The sequence below is a fragment of the Homo sapiens genome, chromosome 20, assembly GCF_000001405.40.
Source record: "Homo sapiens chromosome 20, GRCh38.p14 Primary Assembly".
Lineage (NCBI taxonomy): Eukaryota > Metazoa > Chordata > Mammalia > Primates > Hominidae > Homo > Homo sapiens.
Window position 1 is genome coordinate 43104099 of NC_000020.11, and position 15849 is coordinate 43119947.

The 15849-nt window shown below is 42.3% G+C and overlaps 1 protein-coding gene across 6 annotated transcripts in view, besides 1 other annotated feature; it reads right to left on the reverse strand.

Annotated features, from left to right (window-relative positions):
• Window positions 1-15849, reverse strand: part of PTPRT (protein tyrosine phosphatase receptor type T) — a 1158017-nt gene that overhangs the window by 1072209 nt on the left and 69959 nt on the right. The window lies entirely within an intron of this gene.
• Window positions 343-842: an enhancer, noted in NCBI's record as "H3K4me1 hESC enhancer chr20:41733081-41733580 (GRCh37/hg19 assembly coordinates)". NCBI's record gives its function as "activates a minimal SCP1, AML or CMV promoter by ChIP-STARR-seq in primed H9 embryonic stem cells {active_cell/tissue: H9 hESC(primed)}" and the evidence as "EXISTENCE:reporter gene assay evidence [ECO:0000049][PMID:30033119]".

A 15849-nucleotide genomic window follows, 5' to 3' on the forward strand; every position in this document is an offset into this window, starting at 1 on the left:
TTACTTCCAAGTAAATTCTAAGACTTATTAATTGAATGACTCATGCTGGATCACAGAATGAAGCTCTAAAAATGTCAACATTTGGAGTCTTGCCCTGTCCCTTCATCACCTCGAATGCAGCTCCCAGCACACAATAGGGCCTTCAGCAAGATTCTGATGAACTTCCTTAACTTCACCATGTTCAAATGGAACCCATTTCTGCCCCCAAACTTATTCTGCTTCCCGAACCCCCAGTGCCACCAGCTACAACATCACCCCCTGAGGTCCCAGACAACAATCTTGGGGTATGTGTGATCCAGTCAATCAACATAACAAAGCAGCTAAGAGTCCAGGCTACACCCAGCTTCCAAACCCAATATTGCCACTTACCAACTATGACCCCAGGCAAGCTATTTAACCCCCCTGAAAAACAGAAATAACACCTGCCTTCCTTGCAAGGTAATAATATGGTTTAAATGTGGTGAGACATATTAAAATGCTTAGCACAGTGCCAGGCACAGAGTTGGAGCTAAATAGATGGAACTTTCCATGATTGCTCCTGTCATTGACATTGGGAATGCTTTTGCTCTGCAGACTTCTAAAACAGTTGCACAGTGTCAGTGAGAAGACTAACATGGCAGACAGACTGACAAAAGTATAATCCCAGCTCCATAATTCAGTAGAGCAGACTCTTCGCAGAATTCATTTCCCTCATCTATAAAATGTGGGCAACATAACATCTACCTTGCAAGGTTGTGGTGAGTATTAAATAGATAATGCACACAGCAGATGCCCAACAAAGAGTGTGGTGACTGCTGTGGACTTAATTACAACCTATCTCAAATTATCCTACAATTGTTTCTCACACAGAATATTGTTTTCAAGTACCGGGTCAATCTGGGGTACAAAATATCAAAGGGACCCCTAGTTTCCAAGGTCCTCTTACCAAGAAGAAAAGCAGGCATTGTGAGGCAAACTTAGCCCAGGCCTCTGAGGTCTGGAAACACATCCAGATGGACAGGGGAAGGTAGAGTGTAAGCAAGGTCATGGGTAAAGAGCGTTTAGGCTAGGTCTGTAGTAGAAGCATACTAGAAACGCAAATTTTCAGGCCCTACCTCAAACCTACTGAATCAGTAACAGGGGTCTACAATCTGCGTTTACAAACCCTTTAGGTGATTCTGACGCATGCTAAGTTTGCACCATTGGTCTATATATATGGACTCCACTGCTTCCAGCTTCATCTCTCCCCCACTTCCCCAGCCCCCTTCATAGGGACCAATAGCTTTACCGACTCCATGAAGATCAGTAGTTCATTCTCTTCTGATACTCTTTTTTTTTTCTGAGACAGAGTCTCACTCTGTCACCCAGGCTAGAGTGCCATGGCACAATCTCAGCTCACTGCAACCTCCACCTCCTGGGTTCGAGTGTTTCTCATGCCTCAGCCTCCCCAGTAGCTGGGTCTACAGGCACACACCACCATACCTGGCTAATTTTTGTATTTTTAGTAGAGACAAAGTTTCACTATGTTGCCCAGGCTGGCTCAAATTCCTGAGCTCAGGTAATCCACACACCTCAGCCTCCCAAAATGCTAGGATTAAAGGTGTGAGCCACCGCACCCAGCCTTCTCTGCTCTTTCTCATGGACTCATCACATAAAATTCTTCATGTTTGCAGCCTCTAAGGAATGCCAAAGGGCAAAGTAAAAATAAATACTAAATAAGACAGCATATAATCATGGCTCATGGCAGGATTTCAATTATAGTTGGTTCCCTTCTCCTTTGACTCTTGGTGGGAGTTCTTCATTCTTGGGTGGTTAAGCAAGTCCACCCTCAGATTAATACACTCTTCGGCACTCCAGGTGCTAGTTTCCACTGTCAAGGAATGGTGTGCACTGAAGCCCATCATTCACAAGGATGCAACAGGTTCAGGGGGTGAGGGGCAGGTGCCTGGGGAGGCAGCCCCAGACAGACTGTGCCTGGACAAGCCAAGGCTGCCCCAGACCAAACAAAAGATGAGGCAACAACCAACTGCAGCAGACTGGTGCAGTAGGAACAGCATGAACCAGAGGTCAAAGGGTCTCTCCTCTGGACCCAGACAGCTACCTAACTTCTGGGTTCCTCTGCCCAAACCACCTGCCCTCTCTAAGCCTCTTCAGTAAAATCAATGTTTAGACTGAGTTTCCCAGGAGCCCTGTAGCCCCATGCTTTTCAGTGCAAATGTTCAGTAAAATAACAAAAAGAAAGTAAAGGGTTAATGCTCCTCCATCCAGTTTTCTTCCAGTTTAGAAAGAGACATATGTGGCCGGGTGCAGTGGCTCACACCTGTAATGCCAGCACTTTGGGAGGCCAAGGTGGGTGGAGCACCTGAGGTCAGGAGTTCGAACCAACCTGGCCAACATGGTGAAACCCCATCTCTACTAAAAATACAAAAATTAGCTGGGCGTGATGGCGGGCACCTGTAATCTCAGCTACTCGGGAGGCTGAGGCAGGAGAATTGCTGGAACATGGGAGGCACAGGTTGCAGTGAGCCGGGATCGCGCCATTGCACTCCAGCCCAGGCTGACAACAGCGAGACTCCATCTCAAAAAAAGAAAAAAAAAAAAAAAAAAAAGGAATGAAGGAACAAAGGAAAGAAGGAAGGGAGGGAGGGAGGGAGGGGAGACAGACGTATTTGTGGGAAAGTAAACATTTAATTAAAATTAAGTAAAATATTTTTAACTTTCTTTTTTTTTGAAACGGAGTTTCGCTCTTGTTGCCTAGGCTAGAGTGCAATGGCATGATCTTCACTCACCACAACCTCCGCCTCCCAGGTTCAAGCCATCCTCCCACCTCAGCCTCCCGAGTAGCTGGGAATACAGGCATGCACCACCAGGCCCAGCTAATTTTGTATTTTTAGTAGAGATGGGGTTTCTCCATGTTGGTCAGGCTGGTATAGAACTCCCAATCTCAGGTGATCCGCCCGCCTCGGCCTCCCAAAGTGCTGGGATTACAGGTGTGAGCCACCGCACCTGGCCAGTATTTTTAACTTCTTAAACATTTTTCTAATTGTTTCTACTTAAACAGATGAAAGAATATAAACTGCTTTAAAGAATTTTCAAGTGAAATGAAGATGCCAGATGACCCAAACCCTCCAAACAGAGTCAAATAAGGAAGAAAATAGTCTCGGATTGATATGCAGCTGGGGTGTGTGGCAGACAGCTAGTCGGCTGAGGATGGACATTTCATCTTCCCAACTATTCACCACCTTTAGAAAAGTTTGCTGAAAGAAAAAGGCAGCAAGGAAAAGAAGAAAAATAAGCATTAACCCATTCACTTGACTAATATCTCCCATAAAGTAAAGTGGCAATACAACTTGAAGAGTTTCACATCCTCTGGTTGAAAGAATGAAATAAAATACAAGACATCACCTTCCACTGGGCTGAGAAAATTTAGACTAAGTGGTGTAACCGAAAAATTAAAAACGGCAGTCATTTTACATCAAGATCAGCCTCCTGGTTAATGTCTCAATAGGCAGATGGAGTCAGCCACGTTAACAGGCACTTTGTTCTCAGCTTAAAGGATCAATATCGCAATTACACAGTGCCAGCAGAAATTAAAACAGGTTTACACACTAGGGTAATCTAAACACAAGAAGAGGAAAATCATCAGGAACTCGGTTCCTGAACAGAGTCCAGAAAAACAATTTAAAACTCGTAACATAGCTGTGTGTGTGAAGAGGGATGAGGCGAAGAAGGTGTCAAGTTTGGAAAGAAATGGCATCTAAATCTGACATGCTTAATATTTGCTTAGGTAATACCTTTAAAATGTCAGAGATCATTAGTGAATTAATGTTGGGTTATTCTTCCGTGTAGGGAATCATTCCCAAAGCACACTGACTTTTGGAATAACTGCAGGCAGGGAAAGCTGAAGAAATGGGAGTGAAAATGTTGCATAGTGTATTTTTCAAAGATGGTTGCAACAATATCTCCCATCTCCATTTCTTCTACAAGGTGATCTTGACACTCTCCCATCAAGTGGTAGAGTCTCTCTATCCACCTGAGGATGGGTGGGTCTTCCGACCACTTTGACCAGTAGGATATGGCAGAAGTCATGTGCTGGCTCCAGGCATACCTCTTAACTGGCCTGGCATCTTCTGTTTTCCACCTCTTGGAACTCTAGTTTTGAGGATGTTCCCTCTCAGAACTCAGCTGCCATACTGTGAGAAGCTGAAGCCACATGGAGAAGCTACTTGTGGACAATCTGGTTGATAGTTCCAGCTGCGTGCCAAGCTGATGCCCAGTATCAACTGCCAGCCCAGTTGAGCCTTTGGAAGACGCCAATCCCAATGCTATCCTTCCATATTCTCATCACAGACCTCAGAGAAGGAAGTGCCCAGCTGAGTCCAGTCAACCCACAGCACCATGAGAGATAATAATACATTGTTAAGTCATTATGTTTTGGGCGATTTGTTATGCAGCAATAGAGAACTGAAACATGTGACTCGAGACAGGGTTGGGGGCGGGGGCTTGAGGACAGATAAGAAATCTGCCCCTCAAAGGTCTTCTGAATCAGAGTTGCCCTTATTTTCTTATAAGGACCTCTTCAAAAATAAAGCACTCCAAATTCCCTAGCATCGCACAGAGGCAGGGTTGGCGTGGGGGATAGAGGGAGGATGTATTTGAAGCCAATAATGTGAAAAGCAAAATAAACATCTCACCACACATACCATTTTAAGGGTGTTAAAATCACTGCTCTGAGCCACGCAATGGGACAATCAAAATAAAATTTTAAGGTCTGAAATTTAAAAAAGGCTTCGAAAAGATGCAAATAACCTTATCCTCTTTAAGTCCCTAGTTTAAAGTAATAAGAAATGCATTCACCCAATGCATTGCCTTCAGCACTAATCTAGAATGAAGTCACTTAAATTCTAAGACCAGACCCCACTACCCCATAATAATTGGATGGCTGCATCCAAGGAGTTATCTGAGAGCTCAAGCCCTTACTGAGTTTTCCCATTTTCTATTTTTTTTTCCCCGCTTTCCCTTTCTCTGCTGTTTTCCTTGCTCTCCAGGACACAATAAAGCAATGGATAGGCGGCAAGTGCTATAATGCAGTGATTGCAGTCATGTGAGCAATAATATCAGGACTGTATGGGAAAGGGACCAGACTTCATTATAAATAGGAAAATAATAAAGACAGTAGACTGTGGCTGGATGAACCTCCCACACATCCAAGTGGATTTAGGGCTGAGTCCTCTTGCTGATTGCTTGGATGGAAACTGGGAGTGCGTGCTTTTCGAAACTCTCCAGATACAAAGATCACAAACACCTCCAAGACTCAGGAACCACAGGCACCCACCAAAACCGGGCCTGATCTCGACTCTGAGCACTTAGTTGTGAGACCTGACTTCACTTCCAGCCTTTAGTCCCTCAAGATTTGATATTCACACTCAGTATACATTTTTTTCATTTTTTACATCTAATATTTATTTAGCTACTCTTGTGCTAGGGGCTGAGGATATGGTGACGAACAAGTCAGACATGGTCCCTTCCTTCATTTGAGTGAACATTCAAGTGGAAAGACAAGCAACAACCAAGAAAAAGGAAATAAAGACTCAAGATATTATAGACAATGATAAGCCAATATAGAAAAATATAGGGAACATGACAGAAGTGGACAAGGAAGATCCTGCTGAAGGGGTAGCATGTAAGTTAAGACCCAAAGTGAGGAAAGGAGTTGGAGAAACAGCACTCCAAGCAAAGAGCTAAGTATGTGCAAAGGTCCTGGGGCCAAAAAGAAATTTGGCATGCTCTAGGAATTTTTAGGGGGACCAGTGTAATAGAGTGGGGAGAGACAGGAGGGAGATGAGTCAAGAACAGAGGCAAAGGTTTGACACAAAATGGTAAAAAGCGTTTTATCTCAGGAGCAATGGGAAGTTATTGGAGGGTATCTTAATCCTTTTTGTGTTGCTGTAAAGGAAAATCTGAGCTTATAAAGAAAAATTGTTTACTTGACTCATGATTTTGGATGCCTGGAAGGTTCAAAATAGGGCATCTGTATCAGGAGAAGGCCTCAGGCTGCTTCCACTCATGATGGAAGGTGAAGGGGAGCTGGCATATGCAGAGATCACACAGCAAGAAAGAAAGCAAGAGAGAAAGTGAGGAAATGCCAGGTTCTTTTTAATACCCAGAGGGAACTAATAGAGTGACAGCTTCTCACCCTGGAGAGAGGCAATTAATCCATTCATGAGGGATCACCCATAAGTTCCCGATGACCCAACACCTCAGAATAGGCCCTCCTCCAACACTGTGGATCAAATTTCCACATGGGATTTGGTAGAGACAAATTAACCATATCCAAATGATAGGAGAGGGTTTTAAGGAGGAAAGTGACTAAATCTGGCTGATAGTTTTAAACATCACTCCAGAGTTAACAGAGGTTACCTTTGGGGAGAACAGTAACAGGGAGGGGACAGAGGGGGGCTTCCTGGGTAAAGACGCTATCCTATTTCTTCATCAGGGCACTGTGTACATGACTGGTTTCAGTTTGTTGACAGTCTGTCAAGCTGTATATTTAAGATATATGCCCTTTTCTGTATATATGGTTTTTTCAGTAAAACGTTTATTAAAAATCACTCTGGCTTCTCCCAGGAAGTGGGGAGGTAGACAGCTTAGTTAGAAAACCAGTGTAGGCACTCGGGGTGAGAAGTGAGGGTGGTTTGAGTGGGGCTGGGAGCAGAGGAGGAGAAGGCAAATGGAGAAAGTCAAGAGACACCTGTATTTTCATGTAGTTCTGCCTTCACATGCAGTGAGCCTCTTTTCTGACCTCCACTCTTATGCTAGCTCCAGGGACTCAAGTACCATCTCAGTGACGAGGCAGCACCAACTCGAATGAGGTCCAATGTGGGTGGGGGGAGAGAAACTCAGACAACAACAAATCCATCCAATATTTATCATGCATCTACTACATCTGGAAATGGCTGGAAAAGAAGAAACCAGAGGCTAGGAAGGGAAAGGAAACATGAGTTATCGTGTGGATAGGGTGATCCAAGGGTAGGGGATAGACAAGCAGCCCAAGGTGCAGGTTGGCAGGCACCTGAGACCCTCCGTGTAGTCTGGGTACAAGGGGGTCCCCACACAAGCTATAGGAGTAAGTCTCTGTTCATACTACTGTGTCTGATCACTCCTCAAGAATGGTCACATAGGCTGGGCACAGTGGCTCACGCCTGTAATCCAAGCACTTTGGGAGGCCAAGGAGGGCGGATCACGAGGTCAGGAGTTTGAGACCAGCCTGGCCAACAAAGTGAAACCCCGTCTCTGCTAAAAAAAAAAATACAAAAATTAGCCGGGCGTGGTGGCACATGCCTGTAATCCTAGCTACTCAGGAGGCTGAGGCAGGAGAACCTCTTGAACCTGGGAGGTGGAGGTTGCAGTGAGCTGAGATCGTGCCACTGCACTCTAGCCTGGGGGACAGAGCGAGACTCCGTCTCAGGAAAAAAAAAAAAAAAAAAAAAAAGAATGGTTACATAATGGGACTTGTATATCCACTTTAGATCTTCTCTAAGGCTCTGGGTTCTAGGTTCTGTTTTAAAGAACAGAACTGTTTAAAGGAAAAAAATATGATCTGGTGAGAAGTGAGGTCTCAGAGGCAGAGAGCTGGAGTCCTCATTTGGAAAGGAAGAAAAAAAATGGATCCTTAAAGAAACTTGTATAATGGGTGACTCAAAATTAATCACCTTTTGGGAAACAGGCCATGTTAATTATTCCTGGAGTGGGCAAGTCAGCTTTTGAAATGAGCTGCCAGTCATCAGACTTTCATGTTTAGCAGAGCCAACCACAGCTTTTGTTTAAAAATTGAAAGCCCATTCGGATGTCATGGTTTAGTGCCAAGGAGGGCATCATCTCATCACTAGGCAGGACATTTAACATTTCCCCAGAAGAAGGCACTCTTCTCACCTCCCGCCCACTCCAGGGGAGAATTCTCCAATCCACTTGGGTGGGACATATCCTCATATGTATACAGCAATGCAACAAAGAAACCCAAATTACCTCTATTGGTTTAGCAGGAACTAGAGCCACACTTAGCAGGGTGCTATCCGAGGAACAGTGCATTCTATTGGCTTATCAATTACGTAACATCTAACAGCTCCTTCTCATCTTTTCAGATTTTTATTTGATTGGATAGAAGGCAAAGTAGTTCAATAAACACACACCCACCCTAAAAGTCAAACTCATAAATCTATCCAACTCTAAAGGGTGCCAAGGACTATTGATGAGGGACTGCATTGTAGAAATGGGATCCTCTTTGCTTGTAAACAATGGCATGGGAAATTTCCATATGGGATAATGAGACGTACCTGCTTTCAAAACCAGAGGTTGTTCATTTCATTCCATTCTATTCTGTTGCATGTTACGTAATATAAAGGGCATCTAAGGGTCAGGAAACTAGATGAGGAAATAATGAAATTTGAGACTATGTGGAAAGAAAGGATGGAGTGAAAAGAAAGGAAGGTAGGAAAATGGAAGATTGCTTTCAAAGTAAGATCTTTGTGCATTTGGAATGAAAATAAAATCAATAGGGAGTGCAAGGAAGTTCCTCTGGTTTGAATGAATCTGCCCGGCTTCAAAAAGTTTTACTTCATGATTGAATCGAAACTCAAAAGTTGAACAAGGAAATTCAAGCACGATTTTTATTAACCCCATATGGCCCAGGGAGACTTTTAAAACAGAGACACTTGCTGCTTTCTCCAGCCCTGGATGTTGGGGTTTTGCATGTAACTCATTCGTGATATAAACGTATCTCGTGGGGTTTTGCATGTAACTCATTCATGATATAAACGTATCTCCTGGGGTTTTGCGTGTAACTCATTCATGATATAAACGTATCTCCTGGGGTTTTGCATGTAACTCATTCATGATATAAACGTGTCTCCTGGGGTTTTGCATGTAACTCATTCATGATATAAACGTATCTCCTGGGGTTTTGCATGTAACTCATTCATGATATAAACGTATCTCCTGGGGTTTTGCATGTAACTCATTCATGATATAAACGTACCTCCTGGGGTTTTGCATGTAACTCATTCATGATATAAACGTGTCTCCTTCTTTTAATTAACTACTTCTCTCATCAAGGGAAGGGGAAATAATCCCAATCTAACAACTCATCCATGATGAACTTTGCTGTCTTTCTTCTGTTTCCAAATGAATTTGGCTTATTAAAAAAGTAATGAGCTATTAATTAACTCTACACTCATACAAAGCTGTTTAATTCTCAATCTAATTAGCCGCAATCTGATGAAGGATTTTAATAATTATTTTAACTTTGCTAACAGAAACATCTTTTCACTTTTCATAAGTTATTTATAGAACAGTTCACATTGGATCCTGCTTGGTTTTTAATTTGATGACATTTTTATTAGATCCTCTACTCTTCTACCATCTCTGTGTGACAGAGTTTAGAACTGTCATCATTGAAAAGCCCAGAAATAGTATCCTGGGTCACCTACATGGCCAAGACAGTGCACCCTTCTGTCTTTGAAAAAATCTCCAATGGATGAGGTATGGGAGGACCAGAAGCCCTGTCCTTCTGATGTCCTTCTTAAACAAGAGGCAAAACTCAAGTACGAACCAAGGATAGACTTAAAACTCCCAGTGGAAAGATCAAAGGCTTGGGGTTACTGCTGAGGCTGGATTTGGCAGGGAGGGAAGGAAACATGCCACCACACCTATAGGAATGACTTTTTCATAACTGATGCAAACAAGGGTATTCCCGAATCTCTTGTTTAAGAAACAACAGGCAGTGAGTTACATTTCATTTGTGTATAGAATTTCTACTGGAGCCACTACAGTACAATGTGAAAAGATCAAATGATATTTTATGTGCATGGCCTTTATGATATGCATTTCTGCAGACATTAGAAATTTCTATGTAAATTACATATTAATGTAAAGGCCTATGTACATCAAACTATGGATTCAATAAACACACTTACACACATACACAAACTTCACAAAAAATAAAATGTGTTTATTCAGAGGCATTTTTATTCTTCCCTAGGTATTATAAGGGAATAGATTATGTTCAGTGAGCCACTCTGCTTCTCTAAGATCTAACATGAGATAAGCCTATTTCACAGTTAGTCTCGCCACTTTCCTCTAACACAGGAGGGAACATGGGAGACTGTTTCCTATGCCACCCCCAAGACTTAGTACATGAAGAGGCTATATGTGTAATGGTTTAGAAAACGAATTCTGAAGCCAACTGCCTGCGTACAAATCTCAGCTCCGCACTTACTTAGCTGTGTGCCTTTGGGCAAGTCAATAACCTTTTTGTACCCCAGTTTTCTCATCTAAAAAAAAATGGGAATGAAATAGTACCTACCTCACACTCTTGCTAAGAAGATTAAATGAATTAATATATCTAAAGTCCCTGGAATAATGCAGCACCTACTACATAGTCGGTAACTTCTAAATAAAATAAACTCTAGCTGGGTACTTCTCCCTATAAAATACATAGAGTTTGAGACACTGCAAGGCCATTATCCTACTAATAACAATATTTTTTAAAAGCTAGAAGCTCATATTATAGAGAACATTTGGCCACTGTAGCATTTCTTATAGGCATTTTTTTCTGTTGCTTTTTTGAGAAAACATAGATATGGTGCTAAATTAAATGGCTTACGTTCTGAGCCCTCACCAGTGTTATTATTTATTAAATGTCATTATTCATTAAAATCCTAATAATTCACTAGGTTTTTAAAAAATTAAACACAGGACCTTGAAAAAATTAAATTTAAATAAGTAAGTTGAATATTAATGGAGTGGGAAGCCTAAGGGAGTATGTTCTGAAAACTAGTTATTTATTTATTTTACCAAAAAAAGAGCTGTAGTTATAAATAGTATTAATAATAACAGTAATAATAGCCAGCATTTATTAAGCATTATCCACATTCCAGGCAGTGTGCTCAGTGGGTTACATGCGCCATTTCATTGCATATATAGATGTGTGGGAAGGCATTCATACTGGTGGTCCTCTCCTCTCTGGATTAGCTCTCTCTCTTATACTTCTTTCCCCCCAATTACTTATCCCATGTAGCCAGTACTCTGAGAAGGACATGGCCTCCTCCTTCTTGGGAAAAGATGCCCAATTCCAATATTCCTGCCCTAGAAGGCCCCACAGGAGCTGAGAAGGTGCCTGGAAGACAGCAGGTACCAAGCAGATGGATGAAGCCTGGTTTAGACCTTCAGCTGGGGAGCAAGGTCTTCCCATGAGCCTGTGTGTCCAGCATAGTTCATCAAGGTCAGAGAACACACAGGCATTTAAATCCAAAGCCCATCAAGAAACGTTCTCTGGGAGTTCTCCACTTTGTTCAAGCCCCCCAGTCAAAAATTCTGGTTTCCTTTAATGATACCCCATCGATGATACCACAGAGCCATGGTTCTCAACCAGGGGTTATTCTGTCCCTCAGTGGACCCTTGGCAATGTCTGGAGACATTTTGGGTTGTCACAGCTGAGGAAGAGAAAAGTATTACCAGCATCTAGTGTATAGAGACCAGGAATGCTGCTAAACATCCCACAGTACACAGAACAGCGCCCACAACAAAAAACTGCCAACCAAAATGTCAATTCAATTACCAATTTCAGCCAAGAATATGAAACACTGCCGTGGAGTGACTTAGAAACAGCACAGCCTTTGGGTCCAGACACCCCGTCCAGGGCTCTATTACAAGCAGTTGAATAGCCCTGGGCAACTAACAATCAATCAGTGAGCTCTGCTTTTCTCATCTGCAAACCAGGAGCCTGAGGAAGTCCTCTGAAAATCCCCTTGCACAGCACTGCGAACTCAGCAAACTGCAGCAATTATCACCATGACTTTGTCCTCAAATAAACCTCGCAAGCCACTGTGGAATCTCCATTTTTCTGTAGGTGCCAACTCTGGGTACTCACTGAAAACCTTACCTTTGGGTAATGAGTTCCAAAAGACAAATCTAATTGATCCTTGCAGGGGACTGAACTCACAACCTTGGCCTCATTAGCACCACATACGAATCTACTGAGCAGGACAAATGAAGACACCCAAGAATCACTTTTTCATGTAATAACATTCGGCAGCTCACTCAACACAATCAAAGCACGTCAAACACAGGATCAGCCCTGCAGAATCATGAGTCTCAAATGCCGCATGGAACCACTGACTCTCAGATACCACTGACTCTCAGATACCACCACTGGAAAAGCAGCCATCACATCTTAATGGGGATTAAAAACCAGAATACACAAGGTGGTGGGGGATTAAATGAGATCAGGCAAGCAAAACACCCAAGGGCTTTGCCTTAGACAGTGTTCACCAGTGTTATTACCATCAATATCCTGAAATTAATGACACAACATAGGACTACACCAAAGCCCAAGAGTTATTTATCAGACATACCTTTGTGAAAATAAATAATAGCAAAATAGCAATGTCCTTTCCACCTGCCTTACTTATTCACATAATGTCTACTCAGGCTTAAAGACTTAGCTCACACATTATCACCTATAAGAAATCCTACCTGATGAGCCCTCACCCCAGGACTGGCTGCCCCTCTGTGTTTCAGTAACTCACTAGGCTTACCACTATCACCACTGCTTTCCCACTTTATTGTAATTGTCTCTTTTTCTTTTTCCACCACAAATGTAGGTACTTCTAATGGTAGGGAATATATTTTTGTTCATGTCTACATTTGCAACAGGTGCACAGGTTAGCACATACCACTACTGAATATCCATCAAATGTGGACTCCATGTGGTTGAAGCATGGCTGTATTAGATAGCTCTTGCAACAAAAAAACACTGGCACCAAGCCCAGTGACCCAAAACAAAAACATTCGTCTGTGCTCAGATGTCTGTATGTTGTCTGGGGTCAAGCTGACCAGGGTGTGGCTTAGCTGGGCTTAACTTGGGCTTCAGGTTGGGTCCAGATCTGTTCCACATGACTCTCATCCTCCTTGGACCAGTGAACCAGCCAATGTGTGTTTCTCATGGCAATGACCAAAACACAAAAGGGGCAAGCAGAGACATGCGCTGCTTCTTACGGCCTGGGTACAGACACTTCCACCTATATTTTATTGGCTTAAGCAAGTCACGTGCTTGACAGCAACTCAATGGGTGGTAAAAACATGCTGCATCTCTACTGGGAATAGGTGTCAACTTATGTGGATAAAGGGAGGGGTGAAGAATTGGAAACAGTAATCTAGTCTACCATGAGAATCCTTGGATCCAACGCAGAAAGCTGCATTTACACACTTCTAGAGTTTGTGTATATTTATGGAATGTTTATCCCATTCCATAATCTGTTATCAGGAGTCAACTTCTAAAGCCTTCCTCCAATCTTATTTTCCTGTTCCAAGCATTAGTTTTGAAGTATTTTGAAAGCAGTGTGACATACTCAAAAGACTTTTGAGTAGGAGGTGGGGGTCAGGTGGGTGGGGGACAGCCAAGAGCCAGCCTGGTGAACTGAGCCATATCTCCAAGCTCCATCCTCATCCACGCACCAAAGGGACAGGGTAACAGAAACTCTCAGACATTCTGTGATCTGAGTCCAAGGGATTGTGGCCCAGAATCAACTTCAGAAAAACAAGTGCACTGTAGCGGCAAGAGTCTCAGAGTCAGTCCTGCACTCTTACACCAAACACTTCCAAAACATTCCCAGTGAAGCTTCAAGTTGGACAATGCCAGGTTTTGCTCTGAAACACACACAACATAGATAGGAAGCAATTCGCTCTCATTTAAGGTCAACCTCACTTTTTCCCAGGGAAGTCTAAAAAGATTGGTGTGTCAATCAAAGTGTAAGGCTTAAATCTTCTTGTTCCTTTTGTAACTAGATAGCATCGACATTCAGTAGAGTCAACTCAGCCATACACAGCTTGGGTCTATCCTCTTTCATGGAAAAAAAATTGTTTTTAGAAGTACAATGCACTTACCTTTCATGAGTTCAGAAATAAATATTTTGTGGTTGATTTGAAACAGGGATCAGCAAAATTCTTCTGTAAAGGGACATATAATAAACATTTTCAGCTTGTCGCTGCAGTGTGAAAGCAGCTACCAGCTGTATGTAAACAAATGAGCAAGGCTCATGAGGTCGTGCTCCAATATAACTTTAGTCACAAAAACAGGAGGTGGAATGGATTCAGCCCATGGGCCATATTTTGTTGATCCTTGAGCTAAAAGAATGAGTAAATATTTGCCTAATGTTCTAGAACATTGGTCCATACCTCCAAGAAGCCCAAGAAAATGTACAAAATTCAGGTCATTTTTTTGGCAGAGTCTGATTTAAGGAATGCCTCTGAACACCTGGTACTTCATTTAATCCTCCTCACGGGTCGATGAAATAGGAAAATATATTCCCATTTTTTGTTTTTTGAATGAGTCTCACTCTGTCACCCAGGCTGGAGTGTACAGTGGCTCGATCTTGGCTCACTGCAACCTCCGCCTCCCAGGTTCAAGTGATTCTCCTGCCTCAGCCTCCTGAGCAGCTGTGACTACAGGCACACGCCACCATGCCCGGCTAATTTTTGTATTTTTAGTAGAGACGGGGTTTCACCGTGTTGGTCAGGATGGTCTTGGTCTCCTGACCTCGTGATCCACCCGCCTCAACCTCCCAAAGTGCTGGGATTACAGGCGTGAGCCACCGCACCTGGCCATATATTCCCATTTTATAAACGAAGATACTAAGGTTTCTGAACTTAGTGATCCACCCAAGATCACACAGCTAGTACATGGTAAAGCTGGGATTCCAACCAAATCCTGTGTAAATGTTGGTTCAGTAGTTTTCAAGAATCATAATAGATGTTATCATTACGCACCCTGAGCCTAAAATGGTTACAAAGAATGACCAGAAAATGCTAATTTTATTCTAAGAAAGTCAACAGTGATGAATTCAAATTTATGAGTAAGCTGTTCATTAAAGCCCTTTTTACAATAGTAAAATATTGCAACAATCTAAATATCCAATATTAAAGGGACGCTTGAGCAAATTACAATATAACCTTTGAAAATAATGTTCATAAGAATATGTAATGATATTGGAAATGTTCGCCATAATGTTGTTTTTCAAAAAACTAGAAAACAACACAGTGGCAAAGGCATGACTCTGTTGTTTTAGCCCTTATATTAAATGTATAAAAAGCTCTGGAAGAAGACACCTTGTTTATCATCATTTAGCTCCTGGTTTGGGGACGGCAAGTAGTTTTATTTTTATTCTTTGAACTCTTGGTTTTGCCAAACTGTGTTCAATATACATAAAATTCTATAATCTGATAAGTATGTCTTTAAAATGCAATTTATCCTTGTTTTCTATTTTTTCTTCTATTGTTCTATTTTATTCATTCTTTTCTTATAAGTAAGTTGTCCATAAGTGAACACTTCAAAAGCAACAATTCCATCCCCTGGATTCAAGGAAGAATCCTATGCATAATCCTTCACATGCATCATGACCCAGATTATACTGGTGTTTAGAAGGGTGAAGCAGTGGTCCTTTGAGTGTTCAGACCCAGTTCCCAAGGAGCACAGATACACCTGAATCCCATCTTGGGTTGCAAGCCCTGTTGAGTAAAAAGAAACCTTCTGGTTTCAACATTCATCCTTTTTATGATTATTGCCAAAAAATTTTTAACAAACATTAATATAATGCATAACATCCCAGTACCACTTGTGATGTGTTTAATAAATTCTGTGTGGTTTTTACATAGCCCTGAGAGGTAAGCAATGAGTCAGGAGTTTCCTCCAAGCACCTGTTAAGTGGCATCATATAAATAGCAATGTCAGGAAATCAGGTACCAGAAGAACCAGGCTTGAGTCTCCAGCAAGGCCACATGGGAGCTGACTGACCCTGGTTAAGTCCCTGAAACCCT